The 21,460-nt window shown below is 35.3% G+C and overlaps 1 protein-coding gene across 2 annotated transcripts in view; it reads left to right on the plus strand.

Annotated features, from left to right (window-relative positions):
- Positions 1 to 21,460, plus strand: part of TYR (tyrosinase) — a 117,885-nt gene that overhangs the window by 32,137 nt on the left and 64,288 nt on the right. For both annotated transcript variants that reach the window (XM_011542970.3, NM_000372.5), the window contains exon 3: positions 17,812 to 17,959. In XM_011542970.3, the coding sequence (XP_011541272.1) occupies positions 17,812 to 17,959 (148 nt within the window). The remainder of the gene's footprint in view (positions 1 to 17,811; positions 17,960 to 21,460) is intronic.

Genomic DNA, 21,460 nt, shown 5'->3' on the forward strand with positions numbered 1-21,460 from the left:
AAACCAGAGTAGAAAGACTGAAAATTCCAAAAACCAGAATGCCTCTTCTCCTCCAAAGGAACACAGCTCCTCATCAGCAAGGCAACAAAACTGGATGGAGAATGAGTTTGACAAGTTGACTGAAGTAGGCTTCAGAAGGTGGGTAATAACAAACATCTCCGAGCTAAAAGGGGATGTTTAAACCCATCGCAAGAAAGCTAAAAACTTTGAAAAAAGGTTAGATGAATGGCTAACTAGAATAACCAGTGTAGAGAAGAGCTTAAATGACCTGCTGGAGCTGAAAACCACAGTACGAGAACTTCATGAAACATATGCAAGCTTCAATAGCAGATTCAATCAAGAGGAAGAAAGGATTGAAGATCAAATTAATGAAATAAAGTAAGAAATAAAGTAAGAAGACAAGATTAGAGAAAAAAGAATGAAAAGAAACAAAGCCTCCAATAAATATGGGACTATTTGAAAAGACCAAACCTACATTTGATTCGTGTACCTGAAAGTGATGACGAGAATGACCAAGTTACAAAACACTCTTCAGGATATTATCCAGGAGAACTTCCCCAACCTAGCAAGGCAGGCCAACATTCAAATTCAGGAAATACAGAGAACACCATAAAGATACTCCTCGAGAAGAGCAACCCCAAGACACATAATTGTCAGATTCACCAAGGTTGAAATGAAGGAAAAAGTGTTAAAGGCAGCCAGAGAGAAAGGTTGGGTTACCCACAAAGGGAAGCCCATCAGACTAACAGCAGATCTCTCAGCAGAAACCCTATAAGCCATAGGAGAGTGGGGGTCAATATTCAACATTCTTAAATAATTTTCAACCCAGAATTTCATATTCAGCTACACTAAGATTCCTAAGTGAAGGAGAAATAAAATCCTTTACAGACAAGCAAATGCTGAGAGATTTTGTCACCATCAGGCCTGCCTTACAAGAACTCCTGAAGGAAGCACTAAACATGAAAAGGAACAACGGGTACCAGACACTGCAAAAACACACCAAATTGTAAAGACCATCAATGCTATGAAGAAACTGCATCAATTAATGGGCAAAATAACCAGTTAGCATCATAATGGCAGGATCAAATTCACATATAACAATATTAACCTTAAATGTAAATGGAGTAAATGCCCCAATTAAAAGACACAGACTGGCAAATTGGATAGTCAAGACCCATCGATGTGCTATATTCAGGAGACCCATCTCACGTGCAAAGACACACATAGGCTCAAAATAAAGGGACTGAAGAAGATCTACCAAGCAAATGGAAAACAAAACAAAAGAAAAAAGCAGGGGTTGCAATCCTGGTCTTTAAACTAACAAAAATCAAAAGAAAAAAAGAAGGCCATTACATAATGGTAATGGGATCAATTCAACAAGAAGAGCTAACTGTCCTAAATATACGTGCACCCAATATAGGAGCACCTAGATTCATAAAGCAAGTTCTTAGAGACCTACAAAGAGAGTTAGACTCCCATACAATAATAGTGGGAGACTTTAACACCCCACTGTCAATATTAGACAGATCAATGAGACAGAAAATTAGCAAGGTTATCCGGGAATTGAACTCGGCTCTGGACCAAATGGACCTAATAGACATCTACAGAACTCTCCACCCCAAATCAACAGAATATACGTTCTTCTCGGCACCACATCACACTGTAAAATTGACCACATAATTGGAAGTAAAACACTCCACAGCAAATGTAAAAGAACAGAATCACAACAAACTGTCTCTCAGACCACAGTGCAATCAAGTTAGAACTCAGGATTAAGAAATTCACTCAAAACCACACAACTACATGGAAACTGAACAACCTGCTCCTAAATGACTGCTGGGTAAATAACAAAATGAAGGCAGAAATAAAGTTGTTCTTTAAAACCAATTATAACAAAGACACGACGTACCAGAATCTCTGGGACACATTTAAAGCAGCGTGTCGGGAGAAATTTATAGCACTAAATGCCCACAAGAGAAAGCAGGAAATATCTAAAATTGACACCCTGACATCACAAGTAAAAGAAGTAGAGAAGCAAGAGCAAACACATTTAAAAGCTAGCAGAAGAAATAACTAAGATCAGAGCAGAAATGAAGGAGACAGAGACAAGAAAATCCCTTCAAAAAAATCAATGAATCCACGAGCTGTTTTTTTGAAAAGATCAACAAAATAGATAGAACATTAGCAAGACTAATAAAAGAGAGAAGAATCAAATATATGCAATAAGAAATGATAAAGAGGATATTGCCACTGATCCCCCAGAAATACAAACTACCATCAGAGAATACTATAAACACCTCTATGCAAATAATCTAGAAAATCTAGAAGAAATGGATAAATTCCTCAACACATACACCCTCCCAAGACTAAACCAGGAAGAAGTTGAATCTCTGAATAGACCAATAACAGGTGCTGAAATTGAGGCAATAATTAATAGCCTACCAACTAAAAAAAGTCCAGGATCAGATGGATTCACAGCCGAATTCCACCAGAGGTACAAAGAGGAGCTGGTACCATTCCTTCTGAAAATATTCCAATCAATAGAAAAACAGGGAATCCTTCTTAATTCATTTTATGAGGCCAGCATCATCCTCATACCAAAGCCTGGCAGAGATACAACCGAAAAAGGAGAATTTTAGGCCAATATCCCTGATGAACATCGATGCGAAAATCCTCAATAAAATACTGGCAAACTGAGTCCAACAGCACATCAAAAAGCTTATCCACCACAATCAAGTTGGCTTCATCCCCGGGATGCAAGGCTGGTTCAACATACACAAATCAATAAATGTAAATCCATCACATAAACAGAACCAACCACAAAAACCACTTGATTATCTCCATAGATGCAGAAAAGGCCTTCAACAAAATTCAACAGCTTTTCATGCTAAAAACTCTCAGTAAACTAGGTATTGATGGAACGTATCTCAAAATAATAAGAGGTATTTATGACAAACCCGCAGCCAATATTATACTGAATGGGCAAAAACTGGAAGCATTCCCTTTGAAATCCAGCACAAGACAAGGATGCCCTCTCTCACCACTCCTATTCACATAGTATTGGAAGTTCTGGCCAGGACAATCAGGCAAGAGAAAGAAAAAAAGGATATTGAAATAGGAAGGGAGGAAGTCCAATTGTCTATTTGCAGATGATATGATTGTATATTTAGAAAACCCCATTGTCTCAGCCCAAAATCTCCTTAAGCTGATAAGCAACTTCAGAAAAGTCTCAGGATACAAAATCAATGTGCAAAAATCACAAGCATTCCTATATACCAATAATAGACAAAAAGAGAGCCAAATCATGAGTGAACTCCCATTCATAATTACTATAAAGAGAATAAAATACCTAGGAATCCAACTTACAAGGGATGTTAAGGACCTCTTCAAAGAGGACTACAAACCATGGTTCAAGGAAATAAAAGAGGACACAAACAAATGGAAGAAGATTCAATGCTCATGGATAGGAAGAATCAATATTGTGAAAATGGTCATACTGCCCAAAATAATTTACAGATCCAATGCTATCCCCATCAGGCTACTACTGACTTTCTTCACAGAATTGGAAAAAACTACTTTAAAGATCATATGGAACCAAAAAGAGCCTGCATATCCAAGACAATTAATTCTAAGCAAAAAAGATCAAAGCTGGAGGCATCATGCTACCTGACTTCAAGCTATACTACAAGGCTACACTAACCAAAACAGCATGACACTGGTACCAAAACAGATATATAGACTAATGGAACAGAACAGAGGCCTCAGAAATAACACCACACATCTACAAACAACAGATCTTTCACAAACCTGACAAAAACAAGTAATGGAGAAAGGATTCCCTATTTAATAAATGGTGTTGGGAAAACTGGCTAGCCATATGTAGAAATCTGAAACTGGATCCCTTCCTTACACCTTACACAAAAATTAACTCAATATGGATTAAAGACTTAAATGTTAGACCTAAAACCATAAAAACCCTGGAAGAAAACCTAGGCAATACCGTTGAGAACACAGGCAAAGACTTCATGACTAAAACACCAAAAGCAATGGCAACAAAAGCCAAAATTGACAAATGAGATCCAATTAAACTATAGATGGTTCTGCCAGCAAAAGAAATATCAGAGTGAACAGGCAACCTACAGAACTGGAGAAAATTTTTGCCATCCATCAAACTGACAAAGGGCTAATGTCCATCAAAAAGTGGACAAAGGATATGAACAGACACTTCTCAAAATAAGACATTTATGCAGCAAATAGACATATGAAAAAATCCTCATCATCCCTGGTCATCAGAGAAATGCAAATCAAAACCACAATGCCATACCATCTCATGCCTGTTAGAATGGCGATCATTAAAAGGTCAGGAAACAACAGATGCTAGAGAGGATGTAGAGAAATAGGAACCCTTTTACACTGCTGGTGGGAGTGTAAATTAGTTCAACCATTGTGGAAGAGAGTGTGACGATTCCTCAAGGATCTAGAACTAGAAATACCATTTCACCCAGCGATCCCATTACTGGGTATACCCAAAGGATTATATATCATGCTATTGTAAAGACACATGCACGTGTATGTTTATTGCGGAACTATTTACAATAGCAAAGACTTGGAACCAACCCAAATGTCCATCAATAATGGACAGGATAAAGCAAATATGGCACATATACACCATGGAATACTATGCAGCCATAAAAAATGGATGAACTCACAGGTCAGACCCACTGAAATAGCACCAAATATCAGAGCCAAGGGATGAACAGAGCTCTAAAGTAAATCAAAAGCCCAGAAATCAGGAGACTAAGAGGCAGTAAATCATGTGATTAAGAACATAGATTTTAGCATCAAACATGCCTCATTTTGAATCCCAAAGCTGCTACATCTAGCTACATAATCTTTGGCAAGCTGCTTATTCTTCCCTAAGCCTTCTTTTTCTCACCATAAAATGGTGCTAATATTTGTAGCCATCTAAAGTTACAGCTTTGATTTTTAGTACGATATTGTAAAAATATATATGTAACAACGTTCTTAGCACACAATTACTAGATAGACAAGGAACTTGCTATTAAAATATTTGCATTCTAGTGAGGAGAAGCATAAGCAAACCAGAAAAGAAATAAGCACAAAATTCAGTTAAGCACTATGATGTGATATAATATCTATATATTTTATAAAGAATTACTTGGGAGAAGCTTGCAGTTGAGATAGGCTACTTATAGCTGACTTCTCTGATGAAGCTGAAAACCATCATTCTCAGCAAAATATCACAAGGACACAAAACCAATCACCGTATGTTCTCACTCATAAGTGGGAGTTAAACAATGAGAACACATGGACACAGGATGGGGAACATCCCTGTTTGGGGGTGGGGGGCTGGGGGAGGGATAGTGTTAGGAGAAATATCTAATTTAAATAACGAGCTGATGGGTGCAGCACACCAACACGGCACATGTACACCTATGTAACAAACCTGCTCATTGTGTACATCTACCCTAGAACTTAAAGTATAATAATAGTAATAAAATAAAATAAAAATTATTGCTTTGGCAAAGAATAAATGGCTATATCCCATTGGCTTTAAAAATTTGAGTCTAAGCAATCCATTAAAATAATCTATTTTAACTTAAAATTTTTTATAGATTTAGGGGTACAATCATGATTGTGTTGCACAGATATATTGCACAGTGGTGAAGTCTGGGCTTTGAGTGCACCTGTCAATCAAATAGTGTTCATAGTGTTACTAAGAAATGTTTAGAAATGTCATAAGAATCCCACCATTTTTGGAGAGAGATCATTAATACTAAAGACGCAAGACCCTCCATAAGTCATTTAACTTCATACAGCTCATGTTTTTTATTTATAAGGTGAAGATAATATTTCTGTTCTATCTGTTTATGTAATTATCAACTAAGATAATGTTTGTTAAACATAGAAAACCTCTGTTACTATATTATTATAATGAAGAAAATAATTTTTAGGATTTATACAACATACTAGGATTTTGGTATCTTTAATCAATAATTTTAATTGAAACCATATTTATTTTTCTTTTTCATCCTGCAGTAAATTCAGATTTTGTGCAGTGAGTGACTTCACTTACCAATAGAAGGTGTGAAAGCTTATGAACCTGGTGAAAGCTTATGAACCTGGAATTGTGACTTTAGTGTATAAATAAACAGAAGAAAATGCAGTAAGAAAAAGCATCAGATTTATAGGTGAAATACTTAAAGGATGGCACTTAAACAGAGTAAGAAATATGACTTGTATGTATACTAAAAGCAACTGTGGCTCAGATTATTCCTTCTGAGGTTCTATCTGCCATTCATTTCATGGAATATTGTGGAATTAGCCTATTTCACCTTCTATTAAATGAGGCCCACTTTATGGTATCATAAGAAAACTCAAGGCTGAGGTGCACTGATTGCCTCAGCTCTGGAGTTTGACACGAGCCCAGGCAACATGGTGAAACCCCATCTCTACTAAAAATACAAAAAATTAGCCAGGCATGGTGATGCACCCCTGTAGTCTCAGCTACTCAGTAGGCTGAGGCTGGAGAATCGCTTGAACCCAGGAGGCAGAGGTCGCAGTGAGCCGAGATCGCACCACTGCACTCCAGCCTGGATGGAGTTTTTCCATCTCAAAAAAAAAAAAAAAAAAAAAATAGGTAAACCCAAATAATATGCCTTTTAAGAAAAAGAAGTTGATTTTGCTCTTATGAAACAATATGAAGTTAGATCTTCAAGATCTGGTAGTGCAATTCTGTCATCCTTAACTCACAGCTTCCATCTCTTGATCTTCATCCTGTTTTCACCCTAATCGAAAGGGTGAAAGTGGGAAGAATAGCGTATGACTATTTTTCTTTAAAGGAATTATTTAGAAGTGTTTCTTATCATGATCAAACAGACATGGTAACATTTAGCTTAAACTGGAAGATGTTATCTCCAGCTAGTGGCCATGTGTCCAACAACATTTAGATTATTATTAGGAAAAAGAGAAAAAATTAGCATTTGTGAAAAAAGTAGTAGTCTCTGTCACAATCTTTTACCCATGTTTTGTAAAGTATTTAAAACAAAAATCAAGCACTCTTACCATAATGTTCTGTCACAGTGTTGTTTTAAATTTCATGTAAAACAACATTAGTTCTGTAGTGGTAAATGAAGTGTTAAAGTCTCTCTTTAACTCCAGACCTTTCAAGTTATTAAAAATGCGAACATTTATTATCTAACTTAGGAAGTAGAGAATATTGGAGTAAGTAATACTATGCAGTGTTAACAAACGTATGCCAAAATCTTAGTGATGTAATCCAATAAAAATGAATTTCTTGCTCATCCAAAATCCAATTTGGATGTTTCTGGTTGGGGAATGACCTTCCCTATGGCTATGTTAGTGAGTCTACTGTCCCCCACTTATCTGATGTATCTTCTCCATCTTCCTGGGAGACTGAGTATGAGGATGCATGGAGAATTGTACATGAGAAATATATGGGCCAAGCCTTGAAGTGGCCCACATACCTTCTGCCTACATGTCATTGACCACTACTTATTCACAGGGCCACATATAAATGTGAGGTTCATTGTGCATCCAGGAGTTAAGGGAAAGTGGTTTTTTGAACACAGTGAATGGATGTGTCTTGGGTGTTTCTGTTTGAGTCTCTTCGTTGTTTTATTTTTCCCTCTAGGATCCAGTAATTCCTGAACTTTAGTTCTGGCCTGGGCTGGCCTGCCTCATTTTCACTGAAGCCTCGATTCTTAACTGTGAAAGAATAGATAATTTTCTCTTTCTTACCATTGCTTGCTGCCCTACTCTTTCTGAAATAGTTTCCCATGTTATCCCATTTTCTACTACATGGAAAAAGATCATGCTATTCTGTTTTCCATAATCATTATATATTCTTTTTTCCCCATGGTATTTCCCAAAAATTTATTATTCCATGTTTTATGGGTGAATAGTTATTTCTATTAACTACTTTTTTAGAGTGAAGAATCATCGACCTCTTCTATCCTAACATCTACTGTTATCCCCTCCATGCTGAACAACACCAAAACTATTTTTCATGTAGGTTGTTCAGGGCTTTCTCTCTATTCACTTAATTATTCCATCAGGAGACTATTGAGAGAGGCCTATAACATAAAAACATAAGGGTTAAATTCAAAGCCATCGTCAATCTTACTCAAAGACATAAACCTTAGAACATTATAGGAATCTTCAAAAAAGTTAGCTTAATTGATTTTAAAATTATGCCAGCAACTAAAGCTACATGTTTTAGAAAGAGAAATATATGCCTCATGTTTATTGATTAAAAAACATTTATAGATACTTTGCAATATACTAGGAATAAATGACATATTCTGCCCTCTTGAAACTTAATATAATTAAGAACTAGATTGTGAAAAACTAATTATAATCCAAAGAAAATAAATGATTAAAAGAGGCAAATTTAAGTGTCATTAAATGAAGGAAGCTAACCAAATATTTCTTGTCAAAGAAATTTTTATGGATGATCTGATATCACCAAGAATGAGCTGGAATAGTTTCAGTAAAGTACAAAGAAGAAAAGGAGGAAAATTGACAAATTCTTTCCTACATCTTTACAAAATAACCTTACAAATTACCAGATAGCCTCTGTAATTAATAACAACAGTTAACATCACTACAATCCTACTTTTCTAAAAACTTTTCACGTCCATTATCTTAATTATTCTTCTTAAATGCCTTATACCATATTTATTATTATGCACACTTTATAAATGAGGAAACTGAGATTCTGATAATTTATCCAATTGACAATGTTACAGAGCTAACAGGTAGAAAACATGGATCATTAGCAAGGGAGATCATGTCCTCAAGTGTTCCAAATAGAAAAGCCAAGTTTTAGATGCAGCTAGAGAAAAGCAGTTAAGAGTTGGACTACCTGGGTTTAAATTCTAGTACTATCACTTACTAGTTAAATGACTTTTGTAAATTTAACCTGCCCTTGCCTGAGGTCCCTCACTTACAAAGTGATAATAATCACAATACCTACCTCATATGCTATTGTGAAGATTACATAAGTCAGTATTTGTAAATTACTTAGAACCATCCTTTTATTGCAATAATGAAAGTTCCTTAAAGTTACTGTCTTGCATGCTGATGCACACACTGTAATTTTCTAGCCCTATATAGAAGCCAAATTCCAAACAATAGACTAGGACTTGAGACTCAAACTGGACAAAAATTGTTTCAGGAAAATATTAGTCCTAAATTAAACTTATATCCAAAGTGTAAAGAGCAGCAGAATGACAGAGTGACTTTTTTTTTTTTTTTTTGGAGACAGAGTCCCACTCTATTGCCCAGGCTGGAGTGCAGTGGAGCGATCTTGGCTCTCTGCAACCTGTGTCTCCCAGGTTCAAACGATTCTCCTGCCTCAGCCTCTCGAGTAGCTGGGACTACAGACATGCACCATCACCCCTGGCTAATTTTTGTATTTTTAGTAGAGACACCATGTTGGCCAGGCTGGTTTTGAACCCCTAATGTCAAGTGATCCACCTGTCTCGGCCTCCCAAAGTGCTAGGAGTACAGGCGTGACCCACTGTGCCCGGCCTGATAGAATGCTTTTAAAAGCAACCTTTAGGATGAAATTATGTCCTTCCACAAATTCTTACAATCTAGTAAAAAAATTAAATTTGATAAGAACAAAAATTGGCCATAAGTATGTGGGTATTGGGTCTTATACAATATCTTGGTGACACTACCAAAAATTCTTGCCTTCTCTGATCCAGTTGACTATGTGCCCTGGAGTCCTGTGATAGGAAGCTGATGAAGTTTTCATCCAGAGAGTAAGAACCAGCATGATAGGGCCTTTTCTACCCCAAGAGAGTACTCTGTGAAAAAGCTGGGTTGCAGCTTTTTATTCCAATGGATATGACAAGAATTAAAGGAAATAAAGGAACTATCATAACTGCAACAGAACATCTATTGTCTATTTTAAATTTTATTGCAACTAATGGCTTTATATCAACTGAAAGAATGTAACAGAATAATTAAGAGCAAAGCTTGGAAGTTTGGCAGATAATTGGCCAAAATTCTGACCCTGCCACTTATCTGCTTGTGGTAGGCCGTTCTCACATTGCTTTAAAGAAATCTCAGACTAGGTAATTAAAAAAAAAATGGTTTTATTTACTCACAGTTCTGTAGGCCGTACAGGAAGCACAGTGCTGACATCTGCCTGGCTTCTGGGGAGGCTGAAACTTACAATTATGGTAGAAGGCAGAGAGCACGCACATTATATCGCCAGAGCAGGAGCCAGCGTGAAGGGTAGCAGGTGCCACACACTTTTAAATCATCAGATCTTGCGAGAACTCACTCACTATTGTGAGAACAGCACCAAACGGATGGTACTAAACTATTCATGAGAAATTTGCCCCATGATCAAATCACCTTCCACCAGGTCCCACCTCCAAAAGTGGGGATTACATTTCAACATGACATTTGGGCTAGGACACATATCCAAACTATATCATTACTGAATGACCTTAGATAAACCACCTATCCTCTTTGAGACTTAGTTTCAACACCTGAAAGTTGGTTAAATAATATCTTCTTTACAGAGTTACTACGAAGATAGCCGGGCGTGGCGGGTGCCTGTAATCCCAGCTACTCAGAACGCTGAGGCAGAAAAATCGCTTGAACCTGGGAGGCGGAGGTTGCAGTGAGCGGAGATCACACCACTGCACTCCAGCGCCTGGGCAACAAGAGCGAAACTCCGTCTCAAAAAAACAAAACTCAAAACAAAACAAAACAAAACAAAAACAGAGTTGCTATGAAGATGAAGTTCTATAAAAACTTAAGGAAATGCAGCCTAGCACCTACCACATAGGAATAGAAGGTGTAGTAATAGCAGTAATCTTTGTTGTAGAGAGGCAATTAAGTAGTAGAGAAGAGAAAACACAAACACCGAGGTTAACAAGTAGAGAAGCCCACTTAAAATAATAAACACTTTAATAACACAAAAACCTTTCTTGAATTTATGGAAATGACTTATAATTCATTGTGATTTGTCATTGTCTTTGTGCAAACAATGAAAAGAATGAGAGCAGCTGTTTTCAAACCTTATTTGCATTAGAATCACCTGTAGAACTGGTTAACACACACGATGGGTCCCCACCTGACTTTCTGTTCAGTGACTCACTGTTAGGGTTAGAGGATTTGTGTTTGTAACAAGTTTACAGGTGATGCTGCTAACTCTGGGACCACATTTTTGAAAAACACAAAATATGTGGAGTGTTTGTGCCCTGGGCTCTGCTGTAATAATTACATAGTATGAAACACTCATGCACCACTTCATTTGCTTCGTTACTCTATTCCTCATAATCAAAGAAATCTCCTGAGTCAAATTAAAAGTATTTTCTAATAAACATAAATGCTAATTAATTACATTTATGGCTGTAGAGCTAGCACTTTGAGCAAACTGGAAGTTGGTTGAAAGTTAATGCTTCTCGTGTATCTAGGGACTTGCTTAGATCCAAAAATGTTTTTTGATCTGCAATTCTGTATTTCTTCTGTAAGTAGTTTAAATTACAAGCCTTTTCAAAGTATTCAGCCATCAAATACAGCCTCCTAAAACCATTGTGCATAACCTTTTGAAGCTGTGTACTTAATTCCTCAATCAAGTTGCACATTAGGAGAGTAAATTGGAGGAATATAAGTCAGTGGGTCTTAAGTCACTTTTTAAAAAATCTTCAGATGCACTAATGTACATTTTCTATCTTCTTTTTATTTCCTCTTCTCCAATTCCATCTCTGAAACACTATGAAATGTTAAAATAGGTTAAAAATGCACTTAAATGAAATGCAATAAATTAAATGTGCTCTATTCTTCTGAAGATTTAACTACACACCTTTTCATATTTCAGACTCTTAGCAGGTATGATTAAAGTGCAACATCTGTAACTCATCTTCCTCAAAGGAAAGATACGGAATTATATGAGATGATTTATGTGCCAATGCCTAGCCAGTGACTGTTACATAGTAGTTGCTCAATTTCTTAAATCATAATTTTCAAAGGAACATGGAACAGTTACCAGGAAGAAAATATGTCAAGGCATAAGTTTATAGTGTAAGATTTTAAAGGCAGAAGGATTTTTGGACTGTCAGAATATAGAAGGTGAAAATTTCATATCAAGGAAATCATATATTCACAGGTAGTTTTTGAAGCATGAGCTCAGGTTTAGAGAATGGAGATCAGTCCAGCTTAATTCAGTGCAGTGCAACCCTGGTCACATGTTAGAACGACCCGGAGTGGTTTTCAAACTCCAAGTGCCTGAGTCCCATTCTAAACCAGTTATATCTGAATCTCTAGGTATGAGAGCTAAGCATCAATATTAAAAAGAAACAAACATAAACTTTTCAGAGTAGTATTAGGGAAGAAAAGAGCAAAAGAGATCAACTAGTTGCAATTTTCTATTGTTGGGTGCCGGGCACGGTGTCTCACGCCTGTAATCCCAGCACTTTGGGAGGCCAGGGCAGGTGGATCACCTGAGGTCAGTAGTTTGAGATTAGTGTGGCCAACATGGGGAATCCCCACCTCTACGAAAAATACAAAAATTAGCCAGGCATGCTGGCTTGTGCCTGTAATCCCAGCTACTCTGGAGTCTGAGGCAGGAGAATCACTTGAACCCAGGAGGTGGAGGTTGCAGAAAGCTGAGATCACACCACTGCACTCCAGCCTGGGCAACAGAGTGAGACTCCATCTTAAAAAAAAAAAATTCTATTGTTGCCATTGACCTGAAACTGGGTTTATTAATTTCCTATAGGAATGTAGCTTGCAAATGTTAAGGCATAACATAATTTGGGGGAACTCTTACTGCCTTTCACAAAGAACATTGAGCTATTTTGGCATCTGTGACTAACATGTCTCTACTGGCTCAGTAAAATTTCTTTCCATGAGGAATTCGTGGACAAGGTTGAGATAATAACACATTCTGCACCTTGCTGTAATTTGGTAGCTAAAAATGACAAGTCCACAAATTCATTGCAGGGGTATAGTGCAAAGAAATTTCCAAGGGTAAGTCAGTACAGACACTACCCAACTGTATATGCAAAAAGGAGCACAGGAATTGGAATCAATTATTCAGTTCATTGATTCCCCAACTACTAGCTTTAATGTATGTGTTATTTAACTTCTATAAGCTGTAGTTTTCACATTTGTAAAACTGAGGTAATGATAATATTCATATCACAAGTAGCCCTGAGATTCAAATGAGATTATTTACATGAAAGATATTTGAAAAGCTGGATATATATGGGCACTATTTTGGGGTACTTAGAATTTCCTCTTTGACTTATTCTTCCAAAACAGAGTCAAATCTCAGCCAGAGAAGCTACCGATGTTGGAGTAATTATTTCTATTTTTTTTCAAGTTGACTTCACCAACCAAGAAAATAAACTCTATGAAAAGATAAAATAGAAAATAGTTTGTTCACATTTTTATATTATTTGTCATTCATAACATTTTCTCTGTTTTGTCACTTGACAGGTGCCAGAGTAGAGCTCTCTAAAATTCCCTCGTAGGTTTTTTGGAAATTGTCTCTCTTATTCCCAATCTCTGTAGGATATATAAGTGAAAGATTGAGAGTATTTTATATTTGTTTATCTTTTAAATATGAAGGTGTTCAAGTCTCTGATTTTGATTATCGGAAATCAAAACAAACAATTTGATCTCTAATTCTGAGGTGTCTCTAGTCTATTTGAAGAGACAATATATACATTATTTAAAATTGTTACTATAATAAAACTGTTTACAACTGTTTATATTAATCTGGTATGTATTACAAAGAATCTTGGTTCAACCTGGGCCTTTACATTATTTCTAAGCACATATCACAATGTATTCCGACAAATTCCTTGTGCTTTTTCTTTAGCTGTTTTTTTTTTTTTCTTAATAATATTAGGGGCTTTTCTAGATGCAACATCTGTCAGGTCAGTATAGTAGTGAGTAATGAAATACCAGCCTGGCTGAAAACGCTCTTAAAATGTCGGTCCATTCTACTTCCTAAGACACCTAAGAACACCTGATATAGGATGAGAGCAGGCAGCAGGCAGGTTTCTACAGAACAATGAAGTTTAGGAAGGAGGGAGATGCGTGATGCTAGGGTGGTACCTAATGGTTGCAGCAAAAGAGATACTTTTGCATTGAGAGTGCACCATATTCTTGGTTAGCAGCAACTATTTACCACATGCAACATGATTATAGAAATACTAGTTACTACTCAGGAAGTATTCACTTTGCACCAGATCTGTACTAGGTGCTTTTATACCTGCTATCAAAATTAATCCTTGCCACCAACTGATAAGTGGACATTATTTACTTCCTCTCTTATCATTGAAGCCCAAAAAATATAAATAACTTGACAAGGATTATACTTCCAGTATGTAACACAGAATTTAAGCCAAGTTCTACTCAGTTCAAAAATCTTTTTTACAGCAGTATCTTCAAAGTGGCATAGATACACTACTGCAGGTTCACAAAAACTTTCTAAGGGGTACATGGTGCAGAGAGTTTTAAGAAAATTTATTTTTAGCTCATCCTTCCAAGCATACTTTTCCAAATGAATCTGATTGAGAAGACTCCTGAAGATTCTCCTTCACCAACTCTCCTTTCAAAATCTCCCTTCTCTGATGTTTCAGAAGAGCCTATCTTCCACCTATCCTGAATTCATTCTCAATACAGTCTGCTCCCAGAATGGGAAAAACTTCCAGAGTGTTTAACAAGTGGGGAATCCGAAACATTGGTGCTAGTGTTGCCAACATGTATAACTTTAATTACTAGGCAACAAACTTCTTACAAGTTGGGTAGTTTATAAATAAATTCATCATTTGTGAAATTGCTTTTATCAAATAATTCTTGCTTGAGTTGTCAGTTGATGGATCAAATTGTAAAAACTATTTTTTTTTTTGCTGGATTGTATCATTATTAGCATATTTAGCTCAAATGAGTTCAAAAAGATAAGTAAAATTTAAATAAAAATTTCTTTACCCTTATCTAGTTATTTATGGGAACAAAGCTTCTTGGCAGTTATTTATTTTTTTAAAATTTAGAATATAATTGATATACCTATTTTTGTTACAGAGAATTTTGGTAGGCTACTTATTCTTTTCCCTTTTTAAAATTTATAAATAAAAATTGTATATATTTATGGTGCATCACATGATGCTTTGATGTATGTATACATTGGGAAATGGCTAAATCAAGCTACTTAAAATATCTGTTACCTCACATACTTATTTGAGTAGTAAGAACATTTAAAATCTACTCTCTTAGCAATTTTCAAGTATACCATACATTATTATTAACTATAATCACCATGTTGTATCATAGATCTCCTGAACTTATTCCTCCTATCTAACAAAAAATTTGTATCCTTAGACATAGATCTCCTGAACTTATTCCTCCTATCTAACAAAAAATTTGTATCCTTAGACTAACATCTCCTTAATCCTCACTAATATTTTTCAAATATTTTAAGCATAACATATATAACATTTAGATATAATTGTGTAGAAAAATAGTATACAAATACAAGTTCAAGTATAAAAAGGTAACTCCAGAAAGTTACAGACTATCAAAGAAGAGTTTAAGTTGTTTTTGATATGGATGATGGAATCAAATAATTATGGTGGATACATTTTTTGAAAGTAATATTATATGTTCATTTTTAAATTGACACTATTTGCAATATCCTTTTATTATATCCTCTGAAACTATTTATGATTATGATTAAAACAATTTGATAGTACAGTAGGAAAATTATAGTTAACAACAATTTATTCTATTGTATATTTTTAAATAGCTAGAATAGAAGATTTGTAAGATTCCCAACACAAAGAAAAGATAAATGATCGAGGTGATTGATATTCCAATTACTCTGATTTGATCATTACACCTTGTACATTATAGGCATCAAAATATCACATGTACCCCAAAGATATGTACAATTGTTACATACCAATGAAAAATATAAAACTTTAAAAATTCTTTTAAATTAAAAAAATCAGTTTGGGACCTACTTTAAAAAGTGTGAGAGTATACACTTTAAAAAGTGTGAGAGTTTTAAATTTTTCATTTGGTGCTACTCAGAGATAAAATCTTGAAAACAACTTCTATGAAGAACATTGTCCTCAGTGACATGATTTATTGCTACATAGCAAAGGAAGTAAACCATTGTATTTAGGAGCATAAGTTCTACACTAAAACAGGCATCTGCTCTAACCTTAATGTCTAATTTGTTATTTTACCTTAGACAAGTTCTTTGTCCCCTCTAAGCCCTTTCTTTCCATTTCTATAATAATGTAGGTACTTAATTGGTCAGATCCTTCTAAATGTCACATAAAATTATGTCAAGATCTAGAAAAATTTCTACACAGATTAAGTGTCATGTATGTATATTCACAGAAGTTGTCATAGACAAAACTGTGTAAAGGAGAGGGATGTGCATGTTCTTAGGCTAATCTCCCAGAGGGATCAGGGATTGGTATGGTCTCCCAGAATGAATAAAATAAGTTCAAAAGGAGGTAAAAGGAGGAAAAAACATCACTACCCGAAGGGGCAGAAACACTGTCAGTCACAATAGTGGGAGAGCACAAGGCATGTGATGCAAAAATTAAGAACTGCACCTTTAATAAGGAAGATATTGCCAATAAAATAGTTCTACTTGTATGAAATAAAGCTAGAACTTCCCTGCCTAAATCCTGTCTTTTTTCACTGTTTCTGTTGTAACTCTGGTTTACATTATGATCTTATTCACAATTTCTGCTTGCTTGATATTTCTTAATTCTGAAATTTAATAATATGCCCTTCGTCGTGTTCCCCCAACTTGGTTCCTGCTTACAATTCAATTTTGTTATCCAAACTTCTTTTTCTGGTCCTAACTCTCAGTTTTGCCTGAGTGGGCACTAAAAAGTTATCTTCCTCTTCCTCTTCTTAATGGGCACATGGGAGAGAACACAAAATTCTAAGAGCTCATATCTTAGCGTCTAATTGATACGGATTAAAATCCCAACTCTACCTGGGTAGCTTGGTAAACTCAGAACTTCTCTGAACCTCAGTTTTCTTTGAATAGGGATAATAATTTCTAACCAACAGAGTTACTGTAAAGATAGAAGAACATATGTCACAATAAACATTTAGCATACTCAACATTTAGAAAATAATTGCTCTTATTAAAATTTTTCCCATTATTACTGTTGCTGATGCAATAAATGGAAATATTTATTGGAGTTCTGAATATTTTTGAAATGAATGTTTTGTAAAATCAGACACATTATGAACTGATATGAAAGATGTTCCTGTGAAAGAGGAATTGAAATGTGAAGAGTCACAAATTTTACGCTTTCTCTGGAACCAGAAACCAAACTTAAAGTGTTCTCCAGAACTGGAAAGCAAGGGGACACATAACAGGCTGAAAAGATCTGCTATGAGTGTTGTTACAGACTGAAGTGAAAGTGACTGCTGGTTATTATAAAATGTTCCTATGACTTGTCCATATTGAAACAGAAATTATAGGCAGAATGAACAGGAGGGAACACAAATTGGCTCAACCTCTTTTACCTGGTTAAGCTCTCCATTGTACCCAAATTTGGGCCATTTAATTCCACAAATATTTATTGAATACACACTGGGTATCCAGAATGTAAAGAGTCTCAATACGGAATGAATTTTATTTTTGATTTTATATTTTGAAACAGTCTTCAAGTTATAGTTATAAATCAAATGGGATAATCACATAGGTTTTCAGTCATTAAAGTAAACATATTTTTTTCATTTTTTTTTAATGAACAGGATTTGCTAGTCCACTTACTGGGATAGCGGATGCCTCTCAAAGCAGCATGCACAATGCCTTGCACATCTATATGAATGGAACAATGTCCCAGGTACAGGGATCTGCCAACGATCCTATCTTCCTTCTTCACCATGCATTTGTTGACAGGTTGGTTAATATTTCTTTATAAATAACGTGCTCATTGGATTTAAATAGAGGGTGCCTATCAAATGTGATTTAAGTTATTAAATAAAAGCTAAGAAGTTATGGTAGTCTATTGTCTGTGATCAGGTTGTCACCAAAACAGACCTTAGGCTAAGAATTTGCATGCAAATGTATAATAAAGAAAGTGTTTATAAAGATAAATTAAAAGAAGGTGGATTAGGCAGGATACAAAAGAAAGAAAAGTAAAATAAGTGTACAATGTCAGTTGAAATCCAAGACTCCACTAGATCCTGGTAGAAGGTAAAGTATACCCTAGTTTGTCCTACCTTAAGAAAAAGACAGATGAGTCTTTGTACTTCCATGCTAAATAGCCATTGGCTACAGGATGCCCTGAGGTAGGGGATGTAAAACTCCCAGGAGCTTGAGTCCAGATAGGCTTTGTGGCCCCAGTACCCAAGGGCAGCCTTCTAAAGGCTTCAGGAGAAAGTTGTTAAGAGCAAAGAATGAAAAAGCAGGAGGATGGACACACAGAACTGCTATAGGAATTTAAGGCCATGTGGGCCTGGCACTAACCTACTACATCTGTCATCAATACATCTTTCCTTCTGGAAATTGTATTGTTATTTCTTCTCTTTTTGAACCTAACACACTTTCATATAAGGAAGTACAAACTGATCTCTTCCACTGGCCTGAATAGTATATGATTAATTCTCCAGACAGAGTGCACTATGGCCCAACTGTCCTATTTAATGTGATTTAATTCTCTTGGAGCTTTTATTTCCCTTATTAGCCTTCTTCCATTACATTTGTAATGTCTTAGATATATTAGGTTTTAGACTTAATTGTAGGTGATGATAGCAGAAAAGAAAGTATTCAGAGGAAGGTCAGCTGTCTACTCTTGAAATTTTCAAGAAGAAAGGAGAAAATAAAGCATCAAATCATGACTGACAAATGCTATGGAGTGTTCTTTGTCCCCTCTACAGTAATTTTCTCACCACAGTTAATGAATAAAGGGCACAGATTTATACCTGCCATTAAGATAATACTATCATCCTCTTGGGTAAAAATAAGAGGAGTTATTTTTCGTGTTTTAAAGATAAGGAAACTGAAACTGAGAATTAAAGATTTTACTTAATTTACCAAAATCTTCTCTTCATTCATGTCCACAGGAACATGGACATAAAATCAAATAAGAAAGTGACCATTATCCAGGAAAATCATTAGGCAGATTTTTATTGGCTTCATGGCAACTCTCATATAATGAGAATTAAGTAACAGTCTGTGTTAAGTTTTATTCAGAAATCAGTGTATAAGAACATGTATGAACACCAAAGTGTTGGTGTCAATACCAACATCACAACCACCTATACCCATACATAAGAGAGAAAAGCATAGTGCTGGAATAAAATGTTATCAGAAAAGATAAATTGAACGCTTTTTAAAGAATCATTTTTATATCACTTTTTGGTGTAAATTTTTTGCCATTTTTAATATCTAGAACTACCCAGTGAACTCTAAAGATTTAAGTATGACCACTCTTGCCACCTCCATTCAATATAGTATTAAAAGGTCTACACAATTAGCAATTAGGCAAAAAAAAAGAAAAAGAAAAACTATCAAAATATGAAAGGAAGAGGATATTGTTTCTGTTTACTGATGATCTGCCCTTATACACAGAAAAGCCTGAGAATTCACTGGAAAACTGTTAAAACTGATAAATTAAGTAAACTTGCAAGATACAAATGCAACATACAAAAAATTAGTAGTGTTTCTGTACACTAACAATGAACTATCTCAAAAAGAAACTAAGAAAACAACCCCATGTACGACAGCATCAAAAAATAAAATACTTAGGAGTAAGTTTATCCAAGAAAATGAAAGATGTGTACACTGAAACTATACAATATTGATAAAAGTAACTGTAGAACACAAAAATAAATAAAAAGATATCCTGTATTCATAGATTAGAAAAATTAATGTCGTTAAAATTACTATACTACCCAAAGAAATCTACATATTCAATGTAATCCTATCAAAATACCAAGACATTCTTCACAAAAATAGAAAAACAGTCTTCAAATTCATACGGAACTACAAAAGAACCTGAATAGCCAAAACAATTTTGAGCAAAAAGAACAAAGCATCATATTTCCTGATTTCAAAATATACTACAAAACTATAGTAATTATAATGGCATGGTAATGGCATAAAAGAAGATTTATTGTTCATTGAAACAGAATTGAGAGCCCATAAGTCAATCCAATAATTTACATTCAATTAACTTTTGACAAAGATGCCAAAAACAATGGGGAAAGGACAGTGTCTGCAATTAGTCGTTTGGGGACAATTGGATATCCACATTCAGCAGAATGAAATTGGACCCATATCTAACACCATATCCAAAACCAATTCAAAATGAATTGAAGACTTAAATATAGGGATTAGAAATTGTGAAACTGCTAGAAGAAAGCATATGGTAAAAGTTCCAAGACTTTGGTCTGGGCAATGATTTTTTTGGAGAGGAGCCCCAAAGCAAAGGTAACAAACACAAAAATAGACAAATAGGATTACTTCAAACTAAAAATCTCCAAGCGACCAAGAAAACAATTAACATGATAGACAGACAACTTACACAATAGGAGAATATATTTGCAAACTATACCTCTGATAAGGGGTTAATATTCAAACTATATTAAAAAGTCGATTCAATAGTTAGAAAATAGAAAAACTAATTTTAAAAATTGGGCAAAGGATGTAAATAGACATTTCTCAAAAGAAGATATGCAAACGTCCAACAGGTACATGAAAAGATGCTCAACATCACTAATCATCAGGAAACACAAATCAAAACCACAATGAGATAATATTAATGTTACTTCACACCTTTTAGAACAGCTATTAATAAAAAGACAAGGACAAGAAGTATTAGAGACTATGTTAAAAAAAAAAAAAAGAGGGACTTTAGGAAGCCAAGGCGGGCAGATCATGAGGTCAGGAGTTTGACACCAGCCTGGCCAACATGGGGATACCCCTTCTCTACTAAAAATAGAAAAATTAGCCATGGGTGGTGGCAGACGCATGTAATCCCAGCTACTCGGGAGGCTGAGGCACGAGAATTGTTTTAACTTGGGAGGTAGAGTTTGCAGTGAGCCAAGATCATGCCATTGCACTCCAGCCTGAGTGACAGGGTGAGACTTCGTCTCAAAAAAAAAAAAAAAAAAAAAGGAAGGAATTGTTGTACTGTTCATGGGAATGTAAATTAATATAGTCATTTGGGAAAACATAGCAGTTTCTTAAAAAATTAAAAATAAAACTATCATATGATTCAGCAGTTCCACTCCTGGGCATGTATCGAAAGGGAAATATATCTGAACTTCCAAGTTCATTGCAACATTATTCATATAAGGCAAGATACAAAACCAACCCAAATATTGATAACGATGGATAGATTAAGAAAATGTGGTATATATACACAATGGAACACTATTCTGCCATAAAAAAGGA

Source organism: Homo sapiens, chromosome 11 (genome assembly GCF_000001405.40).
Source record: "Homo sapiens chromosome 11, GRCh38.p14 Primary Assembly".
NCBI classification, from domain to species: domain Eukaryota; kingdom Metazoa; phylum Chordata; class Mammalia; order Primates; family Hominidae; genus Homo; species Homo sapiens.